This window comes from Homo sapiens, chromosome 4 (assembly GCF_000001405.40).
Source record: "Homo sapiens chromosome 4, GRCh38.p14 Primary Assembly".
In the NCBI taxonomy this organism is placed as follows: Eukaryota; Metazoa; Chordata; class Mammalia; order Primates; family Hominidae; genus Homo; species Homo sapiens.
The window spans coordinates 171,039,435-171,066,379 of NC_000004.12; the positions used below are offsets into that span (position 1 = coordinate 171,039,435).

At 34.2% G+C, this 26,945-nt stretch overlaps 1 long non-coding RNA gene across 1 annotated transcript; it reads left to right on the forward strand.

Annotated features, from left to right (window-relative positions):
- The first annotated feature begins 1,167 nt into the window (after positions 1–1,167).
- Positions 1,168–19,726, forward strand: LINC02431 (long intergenic non-protein coding RNA 2431). Its single transcript, NR_038838.1, has 5 exons — positions 1,168–1,400; positions 15,921–15,983; positions 16,394–16,464; positions 16,771–16,904; positions 18,443–19,726. It is a non-coding gene; the product is annotated as a long intergenic non-protein coding RNA 2431 (long non-coding RNA).
- Positions 19,727–26,945: the final 7,219 nt, after the last annotated feature.

The window sequence follows — 26,945 nt, forward strand, 5'->3', positions numbered from 1 at the left end:
TGTCCTTGGAAGAGCAGAGATCTCTATCACTTCATGGTCAGTCTACTTGGAAGACATACAAGTCAGGCTCTGGTGATTCTTCCCAAATTTATCATTCAGTGAAAGAACTCCAACACTTTTTTGGTAGAATGAGTAAAAGGGTAAAGAGAGGCCAGCAGTTGCATATTATTGGGCTTGTTTAAACATCAAAAAGAAGCATCAAGAATGGTGAAAAATATTTTTTCAAGATTTCCCAGTTTTTTTCTTTTTCATTTTCTTAATTTACCTGTTGAGATTGAACATTAAGCCTATGATTAGCCAGAGTTTTGGCTCTCTGTGGCATAGGAGGCAATTTGTTCTGCTCTCACATTCCTTAATCCACACTGCCAAAACCAGTAAGTTCTTCTGTATTTTAGTGGGATTCTGTCAATTCAATTAGAATTTGCCTGGAAAAAAACTCTCAAGTGCATCTGAATAGAATATTTATTCTATTAATCAAAAAGTATTTCATTTCAAACCTGAAACATCATTTTCTTTTGTATTTTTCAACTCATGTTCTGCCACATAATGCAATCTGCTTATTGAAGGTTAAACAATAATATTAAATGATATTATAACTTTTTTAACATCATATAATTGTTAAACAAAAAAAATCTAGGAAAATTGCATAATGACACATTAGTAACATAATAACAACAGCTAAAAGATGCCACAAAATCCTAAGGTGAAATCAAAGCTTCAGAAGCAAATCTTTGCAAGTTAAAATCTCAGTATCAAAGAAAGTAAATTCTTAAATCAAAACTTCTCCTTTATGAGTTACAAACATTGACCTCTCTTGCTACTATCTCCTTATTCCTCAGTTTCATTTGTAAAAGTTCTGAGTTTCAATCCCAATTTGAGCCTGGATTGCAATGAACTAGGACTTCTATGGGTGTCACTGTTCTTTCCAGATAGCTAGCTTTGCATGAACTAAATGTCAAATTTCGAATGGCTGGATCTCTACTCTAAAGGCTCCAAATAAACATCAAAACATATGCAATATCAAAGCACTGAAAACCCGCAATAGCCAACTTTAAAAAATAGGTACATCTCAACCCTTAGAATTTCTATCCAGTAAAGTTCTATTTCAAGAACATCATAATGTTACCAAAGACTATTACAAAAACTCAAAGGTTACTAAGTGCTAATAGAAAATCTTCTGTGCTTAGCTTCACTGGAGTGTCAACACTTAATACTAGTTATGTAGAATTACAACTTTATATTTATTACAGTAAATACACAGGCATGTAAGGAAAAATTCTAGAACAGTTTTTCTTAGTATGGTAAAAATTTTAATCACCATTTCACTTTTGAAGATCATTCTCTCTTGCACAGAGCACTAAATTCAGTACGAGATCTGCTATGATGTTTCTCTCTTATATGTAAGTACCTAACAGAAACATCATGCACGGGAGAGGGAAGTGGTGGGTGGGTAGTTACTCGAGTCATGTTGACGAACCACATGGATTCAAGGTTGTGTTATTCCCTCCACTATTCCCCAGTATGCTCTGATGGCTACTGAAATCAACATTTCAAAAAAAAAAGCACATAATTAGGGACACCCTAATAATACTACAATGTGGAGTGCCACCCCATATTTCAAGTTAGCACCTTATACCTCACATATCTGTGCTCTGTAGTAGTTATGATAGTTAGATATATGATTTATCTACTTAAAGACTTTTCTGGCAGACCTAGCTGAGAAGAACAGCAATAGTAACAAATATTCACCCTGATAAAGTCCAAAACTTCCGGACACAATAAGTCTCTCTGTTTCCTCCATTTGAATCTTGTCCTTGATACCCCTCCTTACTGCGACCTTTTAACCTACGTATTTGTCAAGGGATGAAGCCTTGAAAGTTAAACATCAATCGGCATTACCCCATACAATTTGCATCACCCGATATGTGGCAAAGGACTAAAACATTTAAAGTCTTTACTCTGTGCAAGATTTTTTTTAACCCAGGCTCTATTGATTTCCCCAGTTTTTACTATTTGTTTATTTCTCATAGTTTGAAGGCTAATCATCTAGATGTTGGGGATTTTGATGTTAATCCCAATAAAAACTACAGCCTTCCTACTTTGCTCTAAGGGTCAGAGCATGCTGCTGTAAAATTTACTGCTTGGAGGAAAGCAGTGGAGATTCCACGCCTTTTCCTGATCAGCCTGCTTCCAAAGGAGGGAGAAAGTGCTGGCCCTTCAGGGAATCTGGCCCACGGTTGGCCAACCACAGTTGGGAAAGCCTACCTCTGAAGGAGGAATGTTTTATGAAGAAAAGAAATAGAGGAAACTGAACCCACTAAGGCTTTTTCCGCCTTAAGTTTACTTATCAGAGAAGTCAATTTCCTCTGTGTTGAGAAAGTGAAGACGCCATGAGATGCTAGAAATACTGTACCTGCTGAGCTTCCATAACATGTAAGGTCAACCAGGCAGAGATAAAATGTGTTCCCTCTAATAGTAGCAATGTTCTTTCAGTTGAAAGCTTTGGAAGCCAAGAACTACATCAGAAATCTTAAGTTACAGAAAAATAACTTACATAGATCTTCTCCTGAAATATTAAAACTTGCAGAAACATTTAGTGGAAATAAGTGCCTGTACATGACCTGTACATGAACTTTAGTGCAAGATACTGGAATATCTTGGTCTACAACCCAATAGGCATCTCTTCTCATTTAAAATTATTTCCACTTCATCATGCTGACTTGTTTTATTTCAACAGAAGTTAGCTACTAGTGAGATTACAAAATGTCTAATTTGGTGGAGTGTTTTATTCTAAAGCGTGGTGTAGTCAAAGTGAACAGCATCCCCCAAATTATCCAACCCATTGTAAACTTTCAAATTGAGCCTATTTATACAATAAAAAACTACCTTCAAGTATTTTTACAAATGAGTAAAACTAAACATCAACCAATTACCAAATGATGGAAATAAATAACATATAAGAAATATCAAACATAGCTTTAATAAAGAACTGGGAGGGAAGCTAGAGAAATTGAGCTATCACATTTTAATCTCTTATTTTAGTTGATCTATATTACCACAGAAAAATGTAGAATGTAAATATATTAAGATATAAATATTAAAAGGTTCAAGTTTTTAAATGTGTATTTATATAAATATTTTGTATAATTATGAGATTTTCTTTCTTCATAGAAATAAGATGGCATTTCATGAAAATGATAAGCATTTTCAGGAAACTTCAAAATTGTCAGAAGGATTTTAAATAAGAACTTCATAAAAATTGTGGGGAAATCAGAAAAAAAACAAAATAAATGGGGAAAGACCCGCAAGCATAGTTTAGCAAATTATAAAATAAACAAAGATTTGAAACAGTCGGTTTGATATTGTCAGCCTGGTGAATTTGCCTCTTTCCTATATGCCTTTACCGAGCAACAGAATGAGGGACTGTGTGTTCCCTTCGAATCATTCTTCCAGAACAAAGCTGTACAGATTTCTGTCCCGCTAGCTGCCTTCCTCAACTTACATTCTTTGACGAAAGTAGCCCATGGTTTTAAAGTACCTTATGAAACTGAGAGGTGACAGTGTGCTGGGCAGCCCTTGCAGCCCTCGCTCGCTCGCTCTTGGCGCCTCCTCGGCCTCGGCGTCCGCTCTGGCCATGTTCGGGGAACCCTTTAGCCCACCACTGCGCTGTGGGGGCCCCTCTCTGTGCTGGTTGAGGCCGGAGCTGGCTCCCTCAGCTTGCTGGGAAGTGTGGAGGGAGAGGCGCGGGCGGGAACCGGGGCTGCGCGCGGTGCTGTCGGCCCAGCTAGAGTTCCGAGTGGGCGTGGGCTTGGCCGCCCGGCACTCGCAGCACCGGCTGGCCCCGGGCAGTGAGGGGCTTACCACCCGGGCCAGCAGCTGCGGAGGGTGCACCGGGTCCCCCAGCAATGCCAGCCGACTGGCGCTGTGCTGGAATTCTCGCCGGGCCTCAGCTGCCTCCCTGCGGGGATGGACTCGGGACCCGCAGCCAGCCATGCCTGACCCTCCCACGCCACCCAGGGCTCCTGCGCATCCCGAGCCTCCCGGACGAGCGCCGCCCCCTGCTCCATGGCGCTCGGTCCCATCGACTGCCCAAGGGCTGAGGAGTGCCGGCGCATGGCGGGGGCCTGGCAGGCAGCTCCACTTGAGGCCGCGCGCACGGCCTGTGGCTGGCAGGCAGCTCCACTTGAGGCCCCAGGTGCGTGCGGGATCCACTGGGTGAAGCCAGCTGGGCTCCTGAGTGTAGTGGGGATTTGGAGAATCTTTATGTCTAGCTAAGGGATTGTGAATGCACCAATCGGCACTCTGTATGTAGCTCAAGGTTTGTAAATGCACCAATCAGCACTCTGTGTCTAACTAACCTGGTGGGGACTTAGAGACTCTTTATGTCTAATTAAGGGATTGTGAATGCACCAATCAGCACTCTGTATTCTAGTTCAAGGTTTGTAAATGCACCAATCAGCACTCTCTCTAGCTCAGGGTTTGTAGATACACCAATCGACACTCTGTATCTAGCTGATCTAATGGGGACTTGGAGAACTTTTGTGTCTAGCTCAGGGATTGTAAATGCACCAATCAGCACCCTGTCAAAACAGGCCAATCAGCTCTCTGTAAAACAGACCAATCGGCTCTCTGTAAAATGGACGAATCAGCAGGATGGGGTGGGGCCAGATAAGAGAATAAAAGCAGGCTGCCTGAGCCAGCAGTAGCAACCGTCTGGTGTCCCAGCATTGTTTCTTTGCTCTTTGCAATAAATCTTGCTGGTGCTCACTCTGGGTTCACATTGCTTTTATGAGCTGTAACACTCACTGCCAAGGTTTGCAGCTTCACTCTTGAGCCAGGGAGACTGCGAACCCACTAGAAAGAAGAAATTCTGCACACATCTGAACAGCAGAAAGAACAAACTCCAAACAGACCGCCTTTAAGAACTGTAACACTTACTGTGAGGGTCTGTGGCTTCATTCTTGAAGTCAGTGAGACCAAGCACCCACCAATTCCGGACACGAAATGAACGGATGGTTTTAAGCAGTGCACATGGCAGGCAAGAATAAAAACGAAACGTTTAAAGCTCGTGTGAAGCTGGGTTTGCAGTATGACTAAGTTGTATTCAAACGGGAATGTGTAAGTGTCCCATGCTGCTTTTAGGAAGTGTCTTTAAAGAGAGAAAATATAAAAGGGATTGTGGAAAGTTTATATTTGAGGCATAGCTTTTGAATGTGTTGAAATGCAAGTGTAAAAGCAGAAGAACACAAATTGGATAACGAAAGTATGTATCCAATAAAAGAAAAAAATTATGAGGTAAAGTTTCCTCAAACAGGAAGTCATGATCACGAACCACCCATGCTTACAAGACTTTTACGGTGCCAGTTACCTCAGGATTTCAAGGCATAGCATTTGTGCAGGAAGACTCTGAAGTAAGGAATATGGAGTCCGTCCAGTTTGAGAACTGAGAAAAGCAAACAAGGGTTCAATCAAAAACTCAGCAAGGAAAATTGAGGATAGCAGCCGAAACAGGCAATTATTCGGCAGTAGGCGATGTCAATAGATAATAGTAATATCTAAAGAGGTTAAAGCTCTTGACCAATCTAAAACTAAATCTGTAGTTTTATGACTAAAAGAATTCTTAAAATCAACAAAAGCTCAATTCCAGAGTAATCCTCGTGATGAAAACAACTTCTGGGAGTAGAATTTAACCTAAGCAGGATGAGGGCAAGAGAGACAAAGAAATAAAAGGTGCAGATACAACTGGGAGAAAGAAACAGAGCCATGGACTATCTGAGAATGAGATGTCGTATTTTGTTTCTCTTCATTTTGAACGATAATTTAACTGGGGATATAAAATTCTAGGTTGATAGTTTGTTTTCCCAACACTTCACGTATTTAATTTCCCTTTCTTCTTGCTTGCACAGTTTCTGACTGAAGTTTTCTGTAATTATCTTTGTTCCACTCTAGGTAAGGTGCTTCCTCTATCTCTCTCTACTCAGTTTCAAGATTTTCTTTTTCTCTTTGTGTTTTTATATTTTGAATATGTTTAGATTTTTGTTTTGTTTGTTTTTGGCTTTTGGTATTACTTGGTGTTCTCTGAGTGCTGTTAATCTGTATTTTTTGTCTTTTTGGTGTTTCAATTGCACTTATGTTATACCTTATGTCCTGTTCTTGCTTTCCTTTTATTATTATTTTTATTTTTGCATTTAAATTTGGAAAGTTTCTGTTGACCCATCTTCAAGCTCACTGAGTATTTGTGCCCATTGTGTCAAATTTTCTGATGTGCCTTTCAATGGCATTATTTATTGCCTTTACTGTTTTGATTTCTAGTATTTTCTTTTGGTTCTTTCTTTGATTTTAAACTGTCTGCTTACATTACCCATTTGTTCTTGTGTGTATCTACTTATTCCGTTAGAGTCCCTAGGATTAATCACAGTTATTTTACATTCTGTATTAGATAATTTCAGTATCTGTTTCATATCTGAGTCTACTTCTGATGCTTGCTTTTCTCTTCAGATTGTTTTTTTCTTACCTGCGGTCATACCTTGACATTTTTTGTTGAATGCCAGATATGCTGTATTGGGTAAAAGAAACTGTGGTAAACAGACCTTTAGTCTGAGGATTTTTGTTAATCTGGGAGTTGGACTGTGCTTAATGTATGTTGTAGCTACATTTAGGTGCTAGAGGCTTTAAATTCCTGTAGTGTTCTTGGTTTTGTCTCCCCTCTTGACTTTGGGCTTCCCTTCTTACTCCTCCTTAGAGAGAGGTACCGTGTAGCCTGGTTGTTGTGGTAGTAAATTGTGAGAGAAGAGGAGAATTCTGTAATCTTTCCATTAAATCTCAGTTGTATAGCGGAGCCTATGTCTCAGGGATGTTACCTTGACAAGTATTTCTCCAGTGGTATAGCTGGTTCTTTGTTGTTGTTGTTGTTGATTTTTTTTTTTTCTTACCTGCTACTGTCTATGCTGGTTGAAACAGCCTTTCTCTATGTTTTGAAGCTTTGACACCCGATAACTATTTTGTTATTTTTGTTGGTAATTTTTCTTTCAGATGAGTCAGGAAGGCTGAAGAGAGCTGGGATGAGGAGGATTTCCCCTATCAACAGATAAGGCTCTGGCAAAGTCCTTTATCCTCCAGCATAGGATATTTTTATAGAGGATTATATAGAGGCTCATCACGATGGTGACTCTTTCTCTCCCTAAACCAGAGGCAGGAGAGTGTGTTTCTTGGCTCCTCATCATAAGAACTGAGGTGTTTCTGGGAGAGAAGACTCATGAAAAGTTGCCCCCACACCCATAGCTCCTAGGAGTTTCTGCAGCTCCCAGGAGCTTCTCACTCTCATGCTAGTTCTCAGTCATCTTGGATACATTCATCAAAAAAATTGGTATTCAAATCTTATTTAAATCTTCTTGTATTTTTATGGCTGTAGTGGCTTCTGCCCTGGGTAAGCAGATTTTAGGAGGTACCTGTCTCTCCAGATTTTAGATTGGCAGTTTACCTTGTGAACTCAATTCTCTGATGGGTCTAAGAAAAGTCACGGATTTTTAGTTTGTTCAAATTTTTCTTGTAACAAAATCTGGAGTGTATGGAGGAATGGAGTCCAAGCAATTTTCATATTAAACATGTAAGCAGAAGTCACCACCATATTTTTGAACTTTACAAAAACAGCAGAAGCCCTTCAGTTTCCAACAAAACAAAACAAAAACTAACCTAATGCAGCCCTCATGCAGAAAAGCTTTGCTGTTCAAAAACAGCAAAGAAACAAAAATATCAAGTTCAAGTCTTGTATAAAGTTCTCCAAGAGAAAATCATATTATAATAATAGCAATTCTATAGACAACAAAATCTTTCCGGAAAGATGTAACCATAAACAGATAAAAATCATGATCTAATATTTCAAAATAAAGTTTAACATGTTAAGAAAATATCACAAAATGAGCACAAAAGAAACAATTAAAATGTGGTATTGAATAACAGGAAACAGAAAGGAAAGAAAAATATTTCAGAGCTAAAGATAAAACTTAAAGGAACATATGAACAAAACAAAACAAAACACTATAAAAAATCCAGGATTAAAAAAGGAAGAAAATAAATTCATCGTCTATTTTAATACATAAATTAATTTCTCCATCATTTTGTTGTAATTGTTAAACTTTTATATAGCAGATTCAAAAGTGACAAAGAGATGACAGAGAAATTTCTATACATGTATATAGTTATATACACATATATATAAGGTAATCAAAGGTAAGGATTTAAAACAGTCTCACTGACTTTCAAGTATAATGACTAAAGTATACAATTTCATCGCTATGCAGGCAATAAGGAAATATTGTGTCTGGTAACTTGTCTTTAGTAATCTAAATGTTTTCATACCGGACATCAGATAATCAAAATAACTGGAAAGACATTAACATAAAGACTGTTAGTAAACGTCGAATGTATAAATTTACACATACAACTAACAGTGAATGAGATGTATAAGGAAGAATGTATAGTTTGTAATAGTTAGCTGCTCTGTCAATATAGGTAAAGTGCAATGTGAAAAACTGAAGTGAGACTAGCAAGAGCTTTTGTCAGCAATCAAATTATTGGTGTTGAAGGTATTGTTATCTGATAATGTTTCCATGTAGTATAAATTAAAATATGATTATTTATGTTGTACTCTAATTCTCTTCACAATGTTCTTAAAAAACAACACTCCGTTTGGTATAAAAAAGATTCAGATTCAAGATTGTAGAAATTGAAGAAACACTCTGTAGCAATGAATTTTAAAGAGGCACAAAGTTTGAACTAAGATTTGACACTAAATGCTTAGAAATTATAACAATTCAATAGAAATTGATCAAATGAAGCCTGATACTGATTTGAAATCCCACTTTCTACTAAAGAGAATCAGGGTTTCTTGAGAAAATGGCTGATTATAGGAAAGATCAAGGAATGTATAAGATTACTTGAGTTATTTTGGGATTGTACATAGAAAGGTAGCTCTCATGTAACACTCGGGGAAAGTCATCCAAATTTTGGAATCAACTATGAGTTTCACACTGGCCAAAGAACATAAAATATAAACATCAAAATCTAATACCTAAATTAGATACAAAAATGTCAAATAATGTGCATTACAGGAAGACAGTAAGGGACTTTAAACTCTTCCTACTTAAATTATTTTAAAAACTACTTTAATTCATTCGTTAATATTGGTTCTCACGCACCCCCAGAAGTTATACTGACTTGGTCACGTTATATTATGCTAGTAGCCATTTTTTTAACTAGTAAATAAAATAAGACTATTTAGCATTTCTCTTGCGTTTCCTGTTCAAATTTACGTCTGGATAACCAGATAGTAGATAAGATACAGTTTCTCTTTACAGAAGTATTCCAGAAAATAAATTAAGCAAAAATAGTGAAATTGTGTCATCATTTTACAATTTCTATTAAATTAATGGAGCTATACATCAAGCATCAACAGCTGTTAACGTCACAAACATAGACAACAAACCCTGGTGTGCTTCCTAAAGAACGCATCCTCACCTTGTCAACCTTGGCAAATCATCATTCTTGAATGAGACTTAGTCTCTAGATTCAACTAAAAATTTACATATAACTCAGAGGACAAATGAACGTGTTAAACTATACAAGGAAATTAAGTCAGTAAGACTATGACTGTGAAAAACTCACAAGACACCATCTAGGTTCTTCAATACGTACATTGCAAGCCAAAAAAATAAAAATGAGAAAGAGAGAGGGATTTTATAGATTAAAAGAAACTGATATTACATGTAACAGGCAAAAGTAAATTACAAGGAGTTTAGCAGTATGCATTTAAGTGAAAAACCTATAAGGAAAAATAAAGATGTTTTACAATAGAAGTCAGTTGTGATCACCCTTGGAAAGGAAGAAAAGGATTGTGATTTTGAGGTAGTAAATGGAGGGCTTTTGTGGTATGTGGCAAAATTATATCTTTAAATGGGTAATATTTTAAATGCCTTGTGGCATTTCATTACTGGTTTACATATTTCATGCAACTTTCTATATTTGCATCATCTTAATTAAAAACATGTTAAAAAGGAGATAATTTTCTTCATCTATCTTCCTTCATGTTGGCTGTCTATAAAGAGATGTGTCTGTGACTTAAATAGCTATATGAAACCACCAGGTGTTATACCAAGCTTAGAAAAATAGCAAGATATCTGCATCCCTTATCTGCCTATGTTATGACTCCTTGAGGACAGACAGAATTACATTTATACCTTGTTAAACCACTGTTGTTATTCTATATTTTTCTAATCCTTGAAAGCAAATATAATTCTGACTAATACAAACTCTCGGATGAAATTAAATAATTGAGGAAAGATTCTGGTAGTTTTTAAAATAATTTAAGTAGGAAGAGTTTAAAGTCCCTTACTGTCTTCCTGTAATGCACACATATGGGTAAGTTAAGCAATAAAGGTGACAACTGAACATGATAGATCTCTCATCAGTGTTTTAGTAGAAAGGTCATTAGAAATACACAAAGAAAGTATACATTGTGATCAGTAGAATAGGAGGATAGGAAGATAACACTGTATATCAGCTGAAAATACATTATTTAAAATGCATGTCCTTGAGAAGAGAAACATGGTAAAGGGCCTTTTGCTCTAGAGATAAGAAAAGATACGCAGCAATGATTATGTTCTGGACATGTACTAACATTCAGAAAATTTACATGATCAGAGATTACTAAATAAACAAATAAATATAACAATTTAGTAGAGCTAGGAAGATCTCAAAATATGTTCAATCCTAAAGTCAATGCAATCCTAATTGGTACCAATGAGAAGAGGAAATCAATATAGTTACTGCATCAAATTCTCCAATAAGCTTTTTTTCTAAATGTTTACAGGAGATTAAAAAGAATCTCACCACCATGAACAAACAAACAAGAATTGAGCAGCCATGCAAAAAGAGGGCCAGGCAGCTAAAATAAGTATATAGTTTACTGAGGCTTACAAAATATCATGCACGGAAATATTTTTAAGAATAATAATAGCAAGCAGAGAGGCTGAGAGGAACCTTTAAGAGGTGATGGATATGTGTATGGTATTGATTGTGTTGATTTCATGGGTGTATACTTATGTCTGAATTCATCAGGTTGTTATATCAAATATGTGCAGCTTTTTTATGTCAGTCACATCTCAATAAGGTGTTTTTTAAAAAAGAAGTTCACAAGTTAATAAGAAAAAGTATTCTCCACTAGGAGAAAAATATATAGTAAGAGAGGAATCAGCAAGTAATCTAATCAAGTCATATATTACATAATGTATAATAATATAATAAAATATTAAGCATTTATTATATTTTTTCTCTATGAAAGACAATGATTTTTAAACCAGGAATTATGTGCAATCATTACTATAAAAACACTGAATCCAAAGGGCAGTAATGTGACAAAGTATGCTAAATATATATGTCTTTTCTGGAGCCAACAATATTTCATTTTATGGCAACCAAATTACTTGTATCGTGTTCCCCTGTCTCTAATATGGGCTTACCTCAGAAGACTAATTATAGGCAAAGGGAAAGCAGGGGATAAAAATAAAAGAGCTGAGGACGACATCAACAAAATGTAGATATTAGTAAGAGAGCACTAAAGAAAACTGAGAAGTAAAATTATCCCTCTTCAGCATATGGGATACAGAATCAATTCCAATGAGTCGGGGGTCAGCATCTGAGAAAGGACAGTAGCAAGAAATTAGAGACAGGGAAGCAAATTTTCATGAAGAAGGTGGTAATTCACACTATCAAATTCTCAAGAGTGCTCAAATAGAATAAGAGCTAAAATAAGTATTTGATTCTGTAATGAGATGTTTTATATAAAATAAAGCACCAAACAGTAGAGGCCAAATCCAGTCTATGGTAGATTGTTTTAATAACCAAAGAGAGATTAATGTGGTTTTCAATCTCAAATAATTTTCTCAGTAAATGGAAAGAGCGATGTGTGTAAACATGAAAGAAGTTCTAATTGTTTGTGTCTGTCTGTGTGTAAAGATGTGACCATCTTTGGAGATCGAGGGTTTCAGCAAAAGGGCAGATTTACATTTACACAGCCTTGAAGAAAATATGGTCTCAATGTTTTTATATGACAAATCTATTCTCTGTTTATTGGTTTATTGTTTTAATAAGCACTTCAGATAGCTTTTTATATTTTGGTTATTACTTTAGGTGCTCAGGATATAACAAAAGAGGATAGCAGCCTGCAATTTCAATGTGGAATGGGATACTTTTGTTTCTAGGTAATATGGAAAAGCAGGTACCATATTTATTTATCCTCCAGCTTATAAAAAAGAACTGAACAAAATTTATGAAACAACAGTCTGCCAAAACTTAGAAAACAATGCAGGACAAGATATGATATCTCTAAACGAATTTGTCTACATGCTCAATTGGAAGAAAGAGACTCCATGAACTACAAAAACCTAAAGAAAATGGTGCATGTGGAAAATTTACAAACTCAACTCATTTTTCTTGTGTCCCTGCCTCTCCTTCCCTGTCTCTTCCTCCTCCTCCCATCTTTGCTCTGGTCCTGTGGTGTTTCTATCTTTCTGGGGAGCCAAGATTCAGTGTAGGAATAAAGTTTATGATTTTAAAAATCTGGATTTAAGAGGTTTTGCTCATATGAACTTAAAGTTTAGCTCTCACTTATAAGTGAGAACATGCAGTATTTGGTTTTCTGCTCATGCATTAGTTTGTTTAACATAGTGGCCTCCAGCTCCATCTATGTTGCTGCAAAGGAGATGATTTCATTCTTTTTATTGGCTGCATAGTATTCCATTGTGTTTATGTACCACAGTTTTTCAAATCCAGTCTACCATTGAGGGGCATTTAGATTGATTCCAAGTCTTTGCTCTTGTGGATACTACTACCATGAACATATATGTGCATGTGTCTTTATGGTAGAAGGTATATAATCCTTTGATTATATACCCAATAATGGGATTGCTGGGTTGAATGGTAATTCTGTTCTGAGTTATTTGAGAAATCACCAGACTGCTTTGTGCAATGGCTGAACTAATTTACATTCCCACCAGCAGTGTATGTGTGTTACCTTTTCTCCATAATGTCACCAGCATCTGTTATTTTTTGACTTTTTAATAATAGCCATTCTGGAAATGAACAATAGAAAAAGGGGCTTACTTGAGACTGGAGGGTGGGAGGAAGGTGAGGATCAAAAAATCTACCTATTGGGTACTATGCTTATTACCTAGGTGGTAAAATAATCTATACACAAAATCCCTGGGACATGCAATTTACCTGTATAACAAATGTGCATATGTACCCTCTGAACCTAAAATAAAAGGTTAAAATAAAAGCTAACAAAAATAAAAGGTTCTGCTGCTTTACTGTACCTGCTTTGCTGAGCTCTTTTACAGTGAGAAAAAAATTATCTAAAACTAAAACAACAGGGAACCAGACAATCAAACTTTGGTCCGCACTCTGGCAAGCATCTCCCTAGATGGGAGGGCTTTACTAAAGGGGACAACATAGAAATGACCAGAATGGGAATTTCAAACATTAAGGCAGTCCAGGTTTGCTGGGACTCCAACTGGCTAATTATTATGCCCTGTTCTAGGGCGCATTTTAAACCGTATGGCCAAATTACATTAAGGAAAATTCAGAGCCCAAATAGTTATTATGAAAAAAAGGAAAGAAGGAAATAAAGAGAAAGAAAGAAAGAAAGAAAGAAGGAAAGAAAGAAAGACCCTACAACAAAAGAGTCTAAATTATTTCACATATCTATATTTTTTCTTCCCATTTTGAATCTGCTGACTTTTCTACTAGTGTTGAGATAAAACTGACTTTTTATGATATTAGTAATTCTAAGATGCTTGGCAAAAGGAAAAAAAAAAGGTAAAAGTTCTTTTAAAATCAAGCTGCTATACAAACTGCTTTACCCATTGGGTAAATAAAGTTTAGACATGTGAAAAAGTTTCAATTTTGTCAGGAAAGTAAGCAGGATTCAACCATCTTGTTTATATATACACATGTATTATGTTGCATGTTGCATCTTCATGGTGCCAAATTAGCTTATAAATAAAGGAGTACTCATAAATTAAGCAAATTAGCCCAGATGCTTTTCAGGTTCATGTGACTTCAGTATTCTCCCATGTATCCGTCTATTCTCATGCTGCTGTGAAGAAATACCCGCGACTGGGTAATTTATAAAGGAAAGAGGTTTAATTGACTCACAGTTCTGCAGGGCTGGGGAGGCCTCAGGAAATTTACAATCATGGCAGAAGGGGAAGCAAACACATCCTTCTTCACATAACAGCAGCAAGGAGAGGTACAAGGTGAAGGGGGTGCGGGAAGCCCCTTATAAAACCATCAGATCTCATGAGAACTCACTCACTATCATGAAAAAGCATGGAGGTAGCTGCCCCCATCATCAAATTACCTCCCAACGGGTTCCTCCCATGACAAATGGGTATTTTGGAAACTACAATTCAAGATGAGATTTGGGTGGGGACACAGCCAAACCATATCATCTGGTAAGTAAAAATAATTTTAAAATTATTGATAAAAATATAAATATTTTCAGAATTGTCTGGTCTGCATTCGTGTTTGTCTGTGTTTACTGGTTTTATGTTTACATTTGTTAGACATTTTAAGATGTCAGAATTTGGCGTGAAAGTTATAAAGCTATAAACCCGGTGAAAACATAATGATTTTTATTTATATAATTTTTTTATAAACAAGAGTGATTTAATATTACTGATTTAACAAAACTAATAAAATCTTCTGTGCTATTGGCAAAATGTCCATGTAATTTAAAGTTCTTGCTTGGGTGAACACCTAATATTTACAGGCTATAAAATGGTTAACAAGGAAATAACTTAAAATATAACAAGCTTTGTCTAATATTTTAGTTTTCATAATCTATATGAATTATTAAAAATAAACTAAATAAATATAAATAAAATAAATGTTATTAAATAAAATTTTAATGTATTTTTGAAATCTTAGAGTTATGTCAAATTAAATAAGAGATATACTTTAAATATCTGCGTCATTCCAAATTAAGAAGATTTATGTTATAGGGAAAGATGTTCCTAAAATTATAAAGTGGTTCTCATGTGTAAAATACTGTAAAATATGACAGACAATTCAAGATTTCTTGCTTCCTAGATTTTTCACTAAAATAAGGATTACTAAGCGTTAATACAGTGATTGATATATGTAACTAAAACTACTGAATAAAAGAAACAATTACATATTTGCAATGTATAAGGAAAATAGAAATATGATTTTTGCTTAAGAAAATTTGATTTTTGTCTAGTTTAGAGGTGTTTAAGGGTTATTTTAAATTAAAGAAAATTTTTTAAATGACAGATAAACCTAAATGTATATAAAAAGTTGAGGAAAATAAAAAAACTAAGTTATGAAAGGTTTATGGAAATTTTATCCTGAGGTCAAAACTGATTGCAATTGGATAGATTTGTATATAAGGTTTTTAAAATTAGCTGTATCATTAAAAGTGCCCTAATACAAAACTAAAAATTTTGGTTAAAATAACAAGGTTTTATCAAAGTGTTGATTTGTTCTCAGTGATATTGCAAGAAATATTGACTTTTAATTCTGAAATCTGTGTCTTTATAAAGCTTCTCAGATTTCTGCCACAGAAGTTCGACTTTTCTGGTATTTTGTTACCTATGATTTGCAGATCACATCATTGCCTTCTGTTCCTTTTCCCTTGAAAAGTACGTCTTTTTGCTTGGCTGGAATGATAACTCTCTCTTTGAACATTTTCAGTCAGTACCTGTAATATTTTCCCCTGGTTCTAATTCTGTTTTTATGACATAATGCTAAAAAGCTTATTTTGAAAGCCTAAAAAAAGCAATGCTTTCCTCAAATGTAGCATTATTTTGTAATATATTTTTGATATGTCTAAATACTTTCAGGTAACCAAGAAATTTCCCATGCTGTCACTAAGAATCAGGTATTCCTCCTGCTTTCTGCTAAAGGTACTAGTTTTAATGCTAAAATTTCTCTATAACCTTAGATACATTCTTCTTATGTCTACTTAAATTCAGGTACACTTTTCATCAGTTTTAACTCTGGGTTATTTAAATGGGCCTTCCATAAGGGGAAGCAATCGTACCGCAGAAGGTTTTTCTTTACCTTTTTGATGACTGGCCTAAAACAAAGATTTTATGCTTTATTATGGCAATTTATACATTGTCTTCATTGGTTATTTTTATTACTTAAGAAAACTGAGCTTTAAAAGGGTTAAGGTTTTCACAACCTTGTAACTTTCTGTATTGCTTTTGAGGTCTTCTGATTATCATGCTAGTTAAATTAGTAACCATTACATAAAAATGACCTGTGATTCTGTTTTGATTAAATGTTTTGAACCTTTTGATATCTTTGGTAGGACCTAAAATTATATTGGAAATATCATCAAAGGATAAATCATACTGGATCTTCTTTTGGTTACATTTATAGGTATGTTATTCATATAAATTCTATAAAAATTATATACATTTATAAAAATATAATATCCTATCAGTCATAATTTTGACTATATTAAACCTTTTCTAAAGTTATATTTATATAGATATTAATATAAATATTTTAAAGATTATGTCAAATGTATGGAAGTCTGGTGGTTCTAATGTGATGATTCTGGTTTTTATCTTACTGTGCTACATATAATAGAAATAGCTAAATTTTATTGCCAATTGAAAATTTTCAACCAATTTTAACCATGGTTATTACAAGTTTCTGTCACCCACAATTCCTGGAGGGTAGGAGCTGCCACTCAGTGACCATGTCAAGGGCACGTTGGCTCTCAGCCCCAGCCACTCTCCCATGGCCAGCACACAAGGCCACCACAGCCTGGTCCTGACGTGATACCCAAGACCGGTGGGTACGAGGGGCATCTGGTGAGTTATTGTTTAAACTTCTTCTCTAAAAGCATTTACAATAAACTGTGATCTAAATTACTTTTCATGGAAAGGACTCTGACAAGTACTCTTAAACACAAGATTACTTTGGACATCATACCATCAGAGTAGAAAAAACTTTCAAGACTCTAAGTAAAAAGCTAAAATAAGAACTGCTAATCTAACATCAAGCAGAACAAGAGTTAATTACACAGGATTGAACTGATAGAATACGAAGATTTTATTCATGACATTTTCATTTGAAATGGCTGATTCTCTTTATATTTTGTTTTCCAGAGTCAAGATAACCTTTTTTCTTTATTTTTAATTGACAACACATTAGATAGAATATATTTTTGTGGACAAAAATTTGAGGTATTTATATTTCTCTCTACCTGATTTCTCCAGAATTTGGAAGCCATTTGTGAGTATTCTTAATTAATGGCAATACAATTATTTGCATAAGTTCAATAAGAATCTGTTTCCTTTTGTAACAGGATACAACTGGAGACACTGGTTATTTTACCAAGGCTTTGATTAGAATGGCATATTTTCAGATATGATCAGGCTGCTTTGAGAAATTGGTGCTGACTTCATAGAGCCAATGAAAAACTTAGAAAGACTGGACTGGTACCTTGTCTACAATGTTTCCTTACAGGGTTTCTGTCCTTCTGATAATTAAAGAATATCACTTTCTGACAGGCCTGGGAACCTCAAGATATTTTGGAACCTTGAGAAGAGAGAAATACACTCATTCATACAGATTTTACAGCCACAATCTGATGGATTAACCATGGCTTTACTAGACTCAAGGCTTTTAAAAATCTAAAATTTCTTATAAATAGGTTCCAACAAAGCTAATTTTAAAAAAGAAGCTTATAAGGCCAATTATTGCTGCACTTTATGCAAATAATCATGCCAGGTAGATATAAGACTAAAACTTATTTTGCAAACAAGTCAGTCCTATGATTTGTCTCTGATAAAAATGAGAAGCTTGAGAAAGATAAATTATATTTCAACAGCAAACTATAACACACCTGTTATTGGATTCCAACACTGACCATTGTTTTTAAGTTTTTATCATTTGTTATAATCAAGACTGAATCCTGAATTTTTCCTGGCTTCAATAAGTGTCCCTAATGAACCTGCATATAATATATTTTAAAAACTTCTTGTTATGATTTCCATCAGGAATAGGATCTATTTTTGAAGTACTACTTAAACTAGGAATTATAATTCAATATATGTTGGAGTTTCTCTTCCATCTTGTTAAGTTCGGTACCTACTATTTGTTTCTTATTTTTAAAATCAAACTGATTATATCCTACCCAATACCAATGACATGTTCTTTAACCTGTCTTTGTTATGAGTAAACCGAAGACTTTTCCATGTTTATCAGGGACACTATGTGAACCTCCTGAATATGCATTTATTTGTCAACATATTGACCACCCCTGGTTTTATGCATGTGTTGACAGCTGATGCAAGAGAGTTAATTGTTTATTAGGTTATCTGACTATTCTTCTTTCTATTTATAGCTTCACTGCTTCTCAATATTGGACCAGTTTCTTAAAACTATTTTCCAGGAATAGACAAACCCTACCTGCAAACCAAGAAGACAGATTTTGGCCTATGTTTAGCAATATTCTCTTGCCATGATGGAGAGTATCCTCTCATGAACAACGATTATAAATCTGTCAATCACCCTATGTAACTTCTCAAATGAAGCAGCTAAAGCCATAGCTGCCCAATAAAAATCTTTAAACTCTTTAGCCACAGTAGTAATGGATAACAGAATACCCCTAGACTAAGTATTGGTGGAACAGGAAAGAGTTTCTATGGTAGCTAACATATCATGTTGTGTTTACATCAATACATCTTCTGAAGTTGAAACACACATGAAATAAGAAGACAACAAGCTAATTAATCACAACAAATTCCCAGGGAAGAACCAGGTGCCAACTAGTTCTCAGATATATTTTTCTGAATCCCACATAGAATTCAATGTATGCCCCCAAGCCATATGAAAATTAAGACTTTACCTATTACTAATGCTCATTTTTGGACATTTGGTTATCAAATGCTGCCTCTGATGTTAAACCTTTAAACTGTTAAAAGAGAAACCAATGTATTAATAATGCTAAATGTTAATATTGTACCAGATATTAGAGAATATCTTCAACTTAATGCAAAATGATTTCATCCTTTAGGCCCAAACCTGCACCCCTAGTCAGTAGGAAAAAGCTAGAATGGATGTTGCCCCTAATCCCTCATGACTGAAGAATGCACATAGAACAGGGGGGATTTAAACCATGACCCAAAGATTTAGTTAAAGAAACCAATGGCTAAAAGAAGTTATTGAGTTTGCAGGTTGGCAGATTAAAAAAAGAAGAAGAGGAAACAACAACAACAACAACAAAACAACAACAACAACAACAAAAACTTGCTGAAACACTGAAACTCCCTTTGCTTATTAACTAAAGAACACTGACTGAAATTGGTTGGACTCAATATGGCCAACTAGAGTCTGCACAGAAAGAGCTTGCTGACATTGCAACCTGAATTTTCAGTGCATGTTTCATAACAGCTCCCTCCAACTTTGTACATGTGATCCATGCGATAGAATGAAGTTAACTGTATGCCCAGGGACTTTCTAGACCTTCTCTTTCCTTCCACCAATTATTTGATCATCTCAGAATCCACCTCCTGAAACTTTTTGTATACAAATACTGCTTTGAAGCCAGCATGGGGAGAAAAACTTGAGTTTGACATGCCTGTCTTCTTGTGAGTCAACTTGCAAAATAAAGCTTCCCTTTCCTCAAAAACCTGATGTCATAGTATTGTCTTCTAGCACATGGGGCAGTGAGCCCCGTTGGCTTGATAACACTTCTATCACCTAGAATGGAAACACAGGTAGTTCGAGGGGCATAGAGTAGAGAAAACAGAGAATCATTGACTAAGTAATGGTACCAAAAGTATTTTCAGACTGAGGACTGTTGTGGCCCACGTAGTAAATATGAAAGCACTAATTAGTAGCTGAGGACAATAAAACAGTTATTATAACTGTTTTTATCATGTTCATGAATCTAGAGGATATAGTTTGCACAAAAGTCGAAGTATATTTTTCTAAAAAGCCAAATCAAATTTTCAGACCTTAAAACTACAATGCTGAGAAAATATACCAGATGAGATTCATGGCAGATAATGCATAGGTTATAAAGGCATCCAAAATCCTAAGAAATGGAAGTAGAAACTACCCAAAATGAAACAAAATATGAAATAACAAAATAAAAAATAAAGCATAAGTGAGCAGTGAGACAGCCTCAAGGGGCCTAAAATATAAATAATTGGAGTCCCCAAAGCAAAAAAGAGAAATAGGTACATTAAAATAAATTTTGAAAATTTATTGCTAAAAATATATCACATTTGATGACAGCTATAGCCTCACAGACACAAGAATTTCAATGAAACCGAAAACAATATACAGAAGAAAATGATACAAAGGCACAGCATAATAGGTTGCTCAGAAATCAATGACAAATCATAAACGAGGTCATAGAAAAATGCACATTAAGTATAGGGAACAAAGAAAATTAAAACTGCTGACTTCATATCAAGGCAAATGACAGTAGAGAAACTTCTCTAAAGTAATGAAATAAAAACTGTCAACCTAAAATTCCATACCATTAAAAAATCCTTTCAAATATGAAGGCAAAATTATTTCAGACACAACCTCTTTTTGTGGTACTCTGTTATGGCAGCCCTCACAATATAATAGAATTTTCTATTTAAAAATGTGCATTAGAAATAAACAAACCAGCTGGGTAATTACTGCTCAGTGTCTGGCAGTCGTTCATTATACGCTCCTCTGGGAAAGAAACAGGACTAAAAATTTTTCTGAGATGGCAGGGAAGACTGCAAGGAAAAATAAAGGCAGCAATATTGTTGGATGAACCCGATTTAAATAATTTACAGCTAAAACATGAAAGCACAGTTTTTGAGACTCTGGGGTATTGCTGGATATGTTCTTTGTGTTAGGCTATGCTATTTGATTTTTAATTAAGTCTTCAAAGGGGCCGTATCAGTTCTCAAAAATGGTGGGACATTGGATATTTATCCAATGTAATAATACCTGGAGAGTAATAATACCTGGATTTTATCTCAGTTTTATTGCTTGGTTGAACTATTTAACTCGCAGAACCTGGTAACTCTTCAAAAACTATTGAAAGCTATGAAAAGAAAATACTTCTGCTTCTACAAGGGATTTTTATTTAATTAATTTATTTATTACTGTCATTTATTTATTTCCTTGGGCTATTAGTAGCTTTTGTTTTTCCTATGTCAGATCAGTGTTTTCTGTATCTATGCTTGAAAACAAGAAGATTGGGATGGGGCTTATTATAGATTTCCTTTTAAAATAAAAATTAATTCCTACAATCAACATGAACTACCTTTTTGCTGTTATATACTATAAAATTGTTAGTACTTTTTTTCATAGTAATACATTAATATACTTTGAAACAAATCCAGGTATTTCACTTCATGGAGAAGTTGACTATCAGCTCTTAGACAACATCATAATCTCACTTTCAACTGCATAAATTTTCCAAAACTCAATTCATCTGTCTCATGCTTTTCTTGACTGTTTTAAAATTACTTCTATGTCACAAAATATGCTTTATGTCTATGTTTCTGCCAACTTATGTTTGTAAAATATTTTTACATAGAAAGAATAAAAGCATACACCTGGGTTGTGATTACTTCTCCAACTGCCTATTAATTATTTTTAATAATAAATATTTAGGTTATACATGGAAAGTTACAATTTCATTCAACATAACACCATAAAACAGAAGGAATTGTAGCTTACTTAGAGAGAAAACTCCAATGTAAATATTACTGGCAAAACTTCCTGAAACTGCAGGGTTTTGAAAGAATTTGAAGAAAAAAAGCACGTGTCAAATTAGGAGTACATCTCTCCTCTACGAATAATGATTACGCTAGTAAGCTTAAGGAGAAAACTGCAAATGCGGTGTTTCAAGGTTCAGTTCTACTGTATAGATCTATTAAGCCTAGTTATATAAGACCTACGTTTCAGAGGAAATTCTAATTCCAAAGCTTAGTTTTTTATTTCCTTCAATGTGAATATGAAAAGTCAAGGAAAAAAAATGCTTACCTCTTTCAGGAAATGGTCGGTATTACTATGGTCTGTTAATATCACTGAAGAATGACCTTTCCCAGATAATTAGGTTTTCCTGTTAACTGAAGTCTAACATTTTACTGCAATAAAGGTTATTAAATATAGCAAATTCTGAAGTTTCTTCTCTTAATAAAATACAAGGAAAATCAACTTAAAATACAATCCACAAGATCATGATTTTGAAAATCAGATTATTGTGCTCATGATAAGATAGATAAGATAGTGGATGTTGATGCTATAGGGCATAGTGGTGAATGTTATCTAGTCTAAGGAGTTAATCTGAAATGTGACTTCTTTGAATAAGAAAATTATTTGTAAGAAATTAGAATTTTGCTTATTGTTATCTTCTTCACATTTGTGTAATAATACAGCTCTCTGCAAAATATTTAATATATGGAGCTGAATTCGAGACAAAATTGCTTTTGCTCATGGCAAATTTCTGCTAGGCCCTAATATTTAGTGATAGTATCACATGTCTTTCCAGAATGTAGTAATAACTTCTACAGCTATTGAGGCCATATAGAGAACTCCCGGATGACAGGGATCTAAGAATATTCAAATGATTAAATATTTTTATTTGTTACTATTGTATAGTCTAGGTTGTCTTCTTAAATGTCCCAGCAGAAAGCAGAATGAATGGCCCATCTGCCACTAATGTACTATTAGGACTATTCCGTAAAGAATTTGGGATGGATGGAGAGTGGAGAATTGTTAGCTTCTCAGTACTGTGGAGACATTTATCTTCTTTAGCCTGGCTTTGACCCTTTCTGTTTTCTTCCCTCATGGTTCTTGTTGATAACTGATGTCTCAGAACTATTTTTCTATGATTTTGGACTCTCATTTCTTTTGTGCTCCTGTGGTTTGTTGCTTTCCTTTGCTTTTTATTTGTCCATTTTCCTGACATTTTTATCACTAATATACATCAGTCCTTTGCACTCAGAATGCAGAAGATTGTCAGGCTTCAGGTACTTCAGGTCTTCCTATACTTAGGTCTATTGGGGATTCCTAGATTATAGCCCTTGGCTTTAGTTAAATGAGCTGGTAAATCTTTATAGAGCTATCTTACTGTGTGCTAACACGAGGTTACTAACATAATACAGTTAAAGGGTTTCCCTGTATGCTAACAACAAGACATCATAATGAATCTTAAAGATAGTGCATACAGACATATCAATATATTTGTTAATGCATTTTTCATGGCTGCCATTGCAGGAAGCTGGACTGGCCCTGACTGAGTGCATTCAATGTCATTAAAGCGTAACAGAATTAATGAATAAGCAGCAAATGAAAGTCTAAAGCCCAACATAACAAAATTGGATAATATAAACACCATAATATATTTATAAAAGTTATCTATGTGGGAACCACCCCACATAGAAAATCAATTTCTCTCTCTCTCTCCCTCGGGCTCCACTTCAGACTTCCTTGGCTACCCAAGGATCACCTGAGTTTCATTATTATGTATGTGACTTTGTTTCTGGGCATGGACTTTTGTACAGGTAAATAAATTGTGAAGCAAATTCACAGAAACCACAGGGAAGGGAAGACCTATGCAGTACAATTATCAAAATATAGAAGTAGCAAGCTATGAATAAAATCTGCCTTTCCAGAAATATTAATGTATTGGGAACATCAGCTTATTAAAGTCTAATATTAATACTTTAGAACACTTTTACTGCAGTCATTGCAAATTATAAAGATTAAAATATTCTAAAATCGCTTCTTGATAATTTTTTATATAAAATTTATTTTATAATTTTCTCCAAAATCACTAGATGATGGAAGCCTTTTAATCATTCAACAATTTTACTATGCTACTTGCTGGTGATACAAATACTTGTACTTCAGTGTTTTTACTAAGTTTACAGGCTAGACAGGAGGACTAGTAATTGCATTTTTTAAACTAATACTAATCATAAATCAATACAAATGTTATTCATAATGATGTTTATGAATGGTACTATTTACTTTTTATATAATGCCGGTGTATGAGATGTATAGCTGTAACACTAAGAAATCAAATTCACCATCATTATAATTTTAGAAAATTAGAGAATTGATCAGTAACCAGAGTTGGGTAGTTAATAACAAAATCATAAACAAACTATTTACATTTTAAGATCATTTTCCAGGTTTAAAATAAACCTGGTTTGAAATTAATTGTATAAGCAAAGTCATACAAAGTGATATTTTCTACATCTTTAAGACATTTATTTGCTCTTGGTCATATTGAATTCTGCTCTAGAATTCAAGAAAACCACAATAAATTTTAAAAAGACAAAGACATACAAAAAAGTTTTAAAACATTGGATTATAGTATTTGTAGAAGGAAATTTAAAAAATGATTGCACTTGGGAAGAAATTTATGGATTAATTAACCCTACCTAGTATTCTACAAATGAAAGAACTGAGATCCTTAGGAACTTTTTCTATTATATTTCTTAAGGTAATGCTGATCACAAACAAGCATATTTTGCATCTTTCTTTCTGGTTTGTATGACTTTTTTTTCTTTTTCTTGCCCAATTTCTCTGGTTACGACTTCTAGTACTATATTAAATAGAAGTGGTGAAAGAAGGAAACTTCGACTTGTTCCTGGTCTTAGATGGAAAGCTTTTATTTTCAACACTGAATATGACATTAGCTAAGGGGGCTTTTCAATTTCAGTCTTTATATCATACTGAGGTAATTATCTTCTATTTCTGGTTTCTTAAGAGTTTTATGAACACAGGATGCTGAACTTGATAAAACACTTTTTATGTATCTATTGAGAAGATCATGAAATTTTACCTCTTATTCAGTTAATGTAGTTTATCACATTAATTTATTTTTATATTTTGAACCATCATTGCATCCTAGGGATAGACACCAATTGATTATGGTGTAGGATAATTTTAATGTGCTGTTAAGTTCACCTTATATATTGAAAACCTTAAAAACTTCATTTTTTTAAAAGCTGTTAGAACTAATACAAAAACTCAGTAAATTTGCAGGGTACAAAACTTCACATATGAAAATCAATTGTATTTCTATACACTAACAACAAACTATGTGAAAAAGAAATTAAGAAAATACCATTACCAATAGGACCAAAAATAATAAAATACTTAGAAATAAGCTAAAGAGATAAAAGATTTATACACTGAAAACTACAAAATATTAATGAAAGAAGAAATAAACAAATGGAAAGACAGCCTATGCTCAGGATTCAAAGGCTTAACAGAATAGAGAGCCCAGAAATAAACCCTTGCATATATGTTCAAACTAATCTTCAAAAAGGGTGCCAAGAATACACAGTGAGGTAAAGCAATCTCTTGAACAAATAGTGGGAAAACTGGGTATCCACATGCAAAAATTAGAATTTGACCCTTATTCTACATCATAGAAAAAAGTTAACTAAATAAATAAAAAGACTTTAATGTAAGACCTGAAACTGTAAAACCTCTAGAAGAAACACACAGGGAAAAAGCTTCATGACATAGGACAGAGCTATGATTTTGTGGATATGACATCAAAAGCACAGAAAACAAAAGCAAAAATGGAGAAATGAGACTACCTCAAACTAAAAAGCTTTTGTACAAAGAAAACAACAGAGTAAACAGTCAACTACAGAATGGGGGAAAATATTTGCAAAACATATATCTGATAAGGGGTTAATTCTAAAACAGATAAGGAACTCCTACAAGCCAGGAGTAAAAATCAAACAAACAAAAACGAATACCTGATTAAAAATTGGGCTAAATACTTGACACTTTTCAAAGAAGTCATACAAATGACCAAAAGGTGTATGAAAAGATGCTCAATGTTATTAATTATCATGGAAATGCAAATCAAAACCACAATGGGGTATCACCTCACATCTGTTAGGATTGCTATTACAAAAAAATAGACAAAATAGTAATAACAAGTGTTGGGGAGGATGTAGAGAAATTGGAAACTTTGTACACTGTTGATGGGAATGGAAAATGGTACAGCTGGAACAATTACAAAAATAGAATTTGCATATCAACCAGTAGTCCCACTTCTGATATTTGTCCAAATAACTGGAATCAGGGACTCAAGGCGATATTTGTACCTCCATGCTCATTACAGCATTAGTCACAGTAGTCAAGATGCGGAAATAGCCTAAAGATTCATTGACAGATGAGTAGATGAAGGAAATGCAGTATGTACCTGCAACAGAGTATCATTCAGCCTTAGAAAAGAAGGAAATCCTGCCATATGTGACAACGTGGATGATCCCGGAGGACATTATGCTAAGTGAAATAAACCAGTCACAGAAGGACAATTACTGCATTGTTCCACTTATATGAGGTGTCTAAAATAGTCAAACCCACAGAATCATATAGTGGAATGGTTGTTGCCAGGGACTGGTGGGAAGGAGAAATGGGCAGTTGCTAATCAACAGGCGTAAAATTTCAGTTAATTAAAATGAATAAATTCTAGAGATCTTCAGTATAATGTTGTGCCTATAGTTAAAAACACTCTATAGTGTACTTAAAAATTTATTAATAGAAAAGTCTCATATCATTTTCTTACCACAATAAAATAAAAACTTAAATATATATATTTTATATATTATATATTTAATATATATTAAATAAATATATATTTTATATATAATATATAAAATATATATTTAATATATTTATATGTTATATATATTTATATATAAGTTATATATATTTATACATGTTATATATATTTATATATATTATATATATTTATATATGTTATATATTTATATATAAGTTATATATATTTATATATGTTATATATATTTATATATGTTATATATATTTATATATAAGTTATATATATATTTATATACTACTCAGCCATT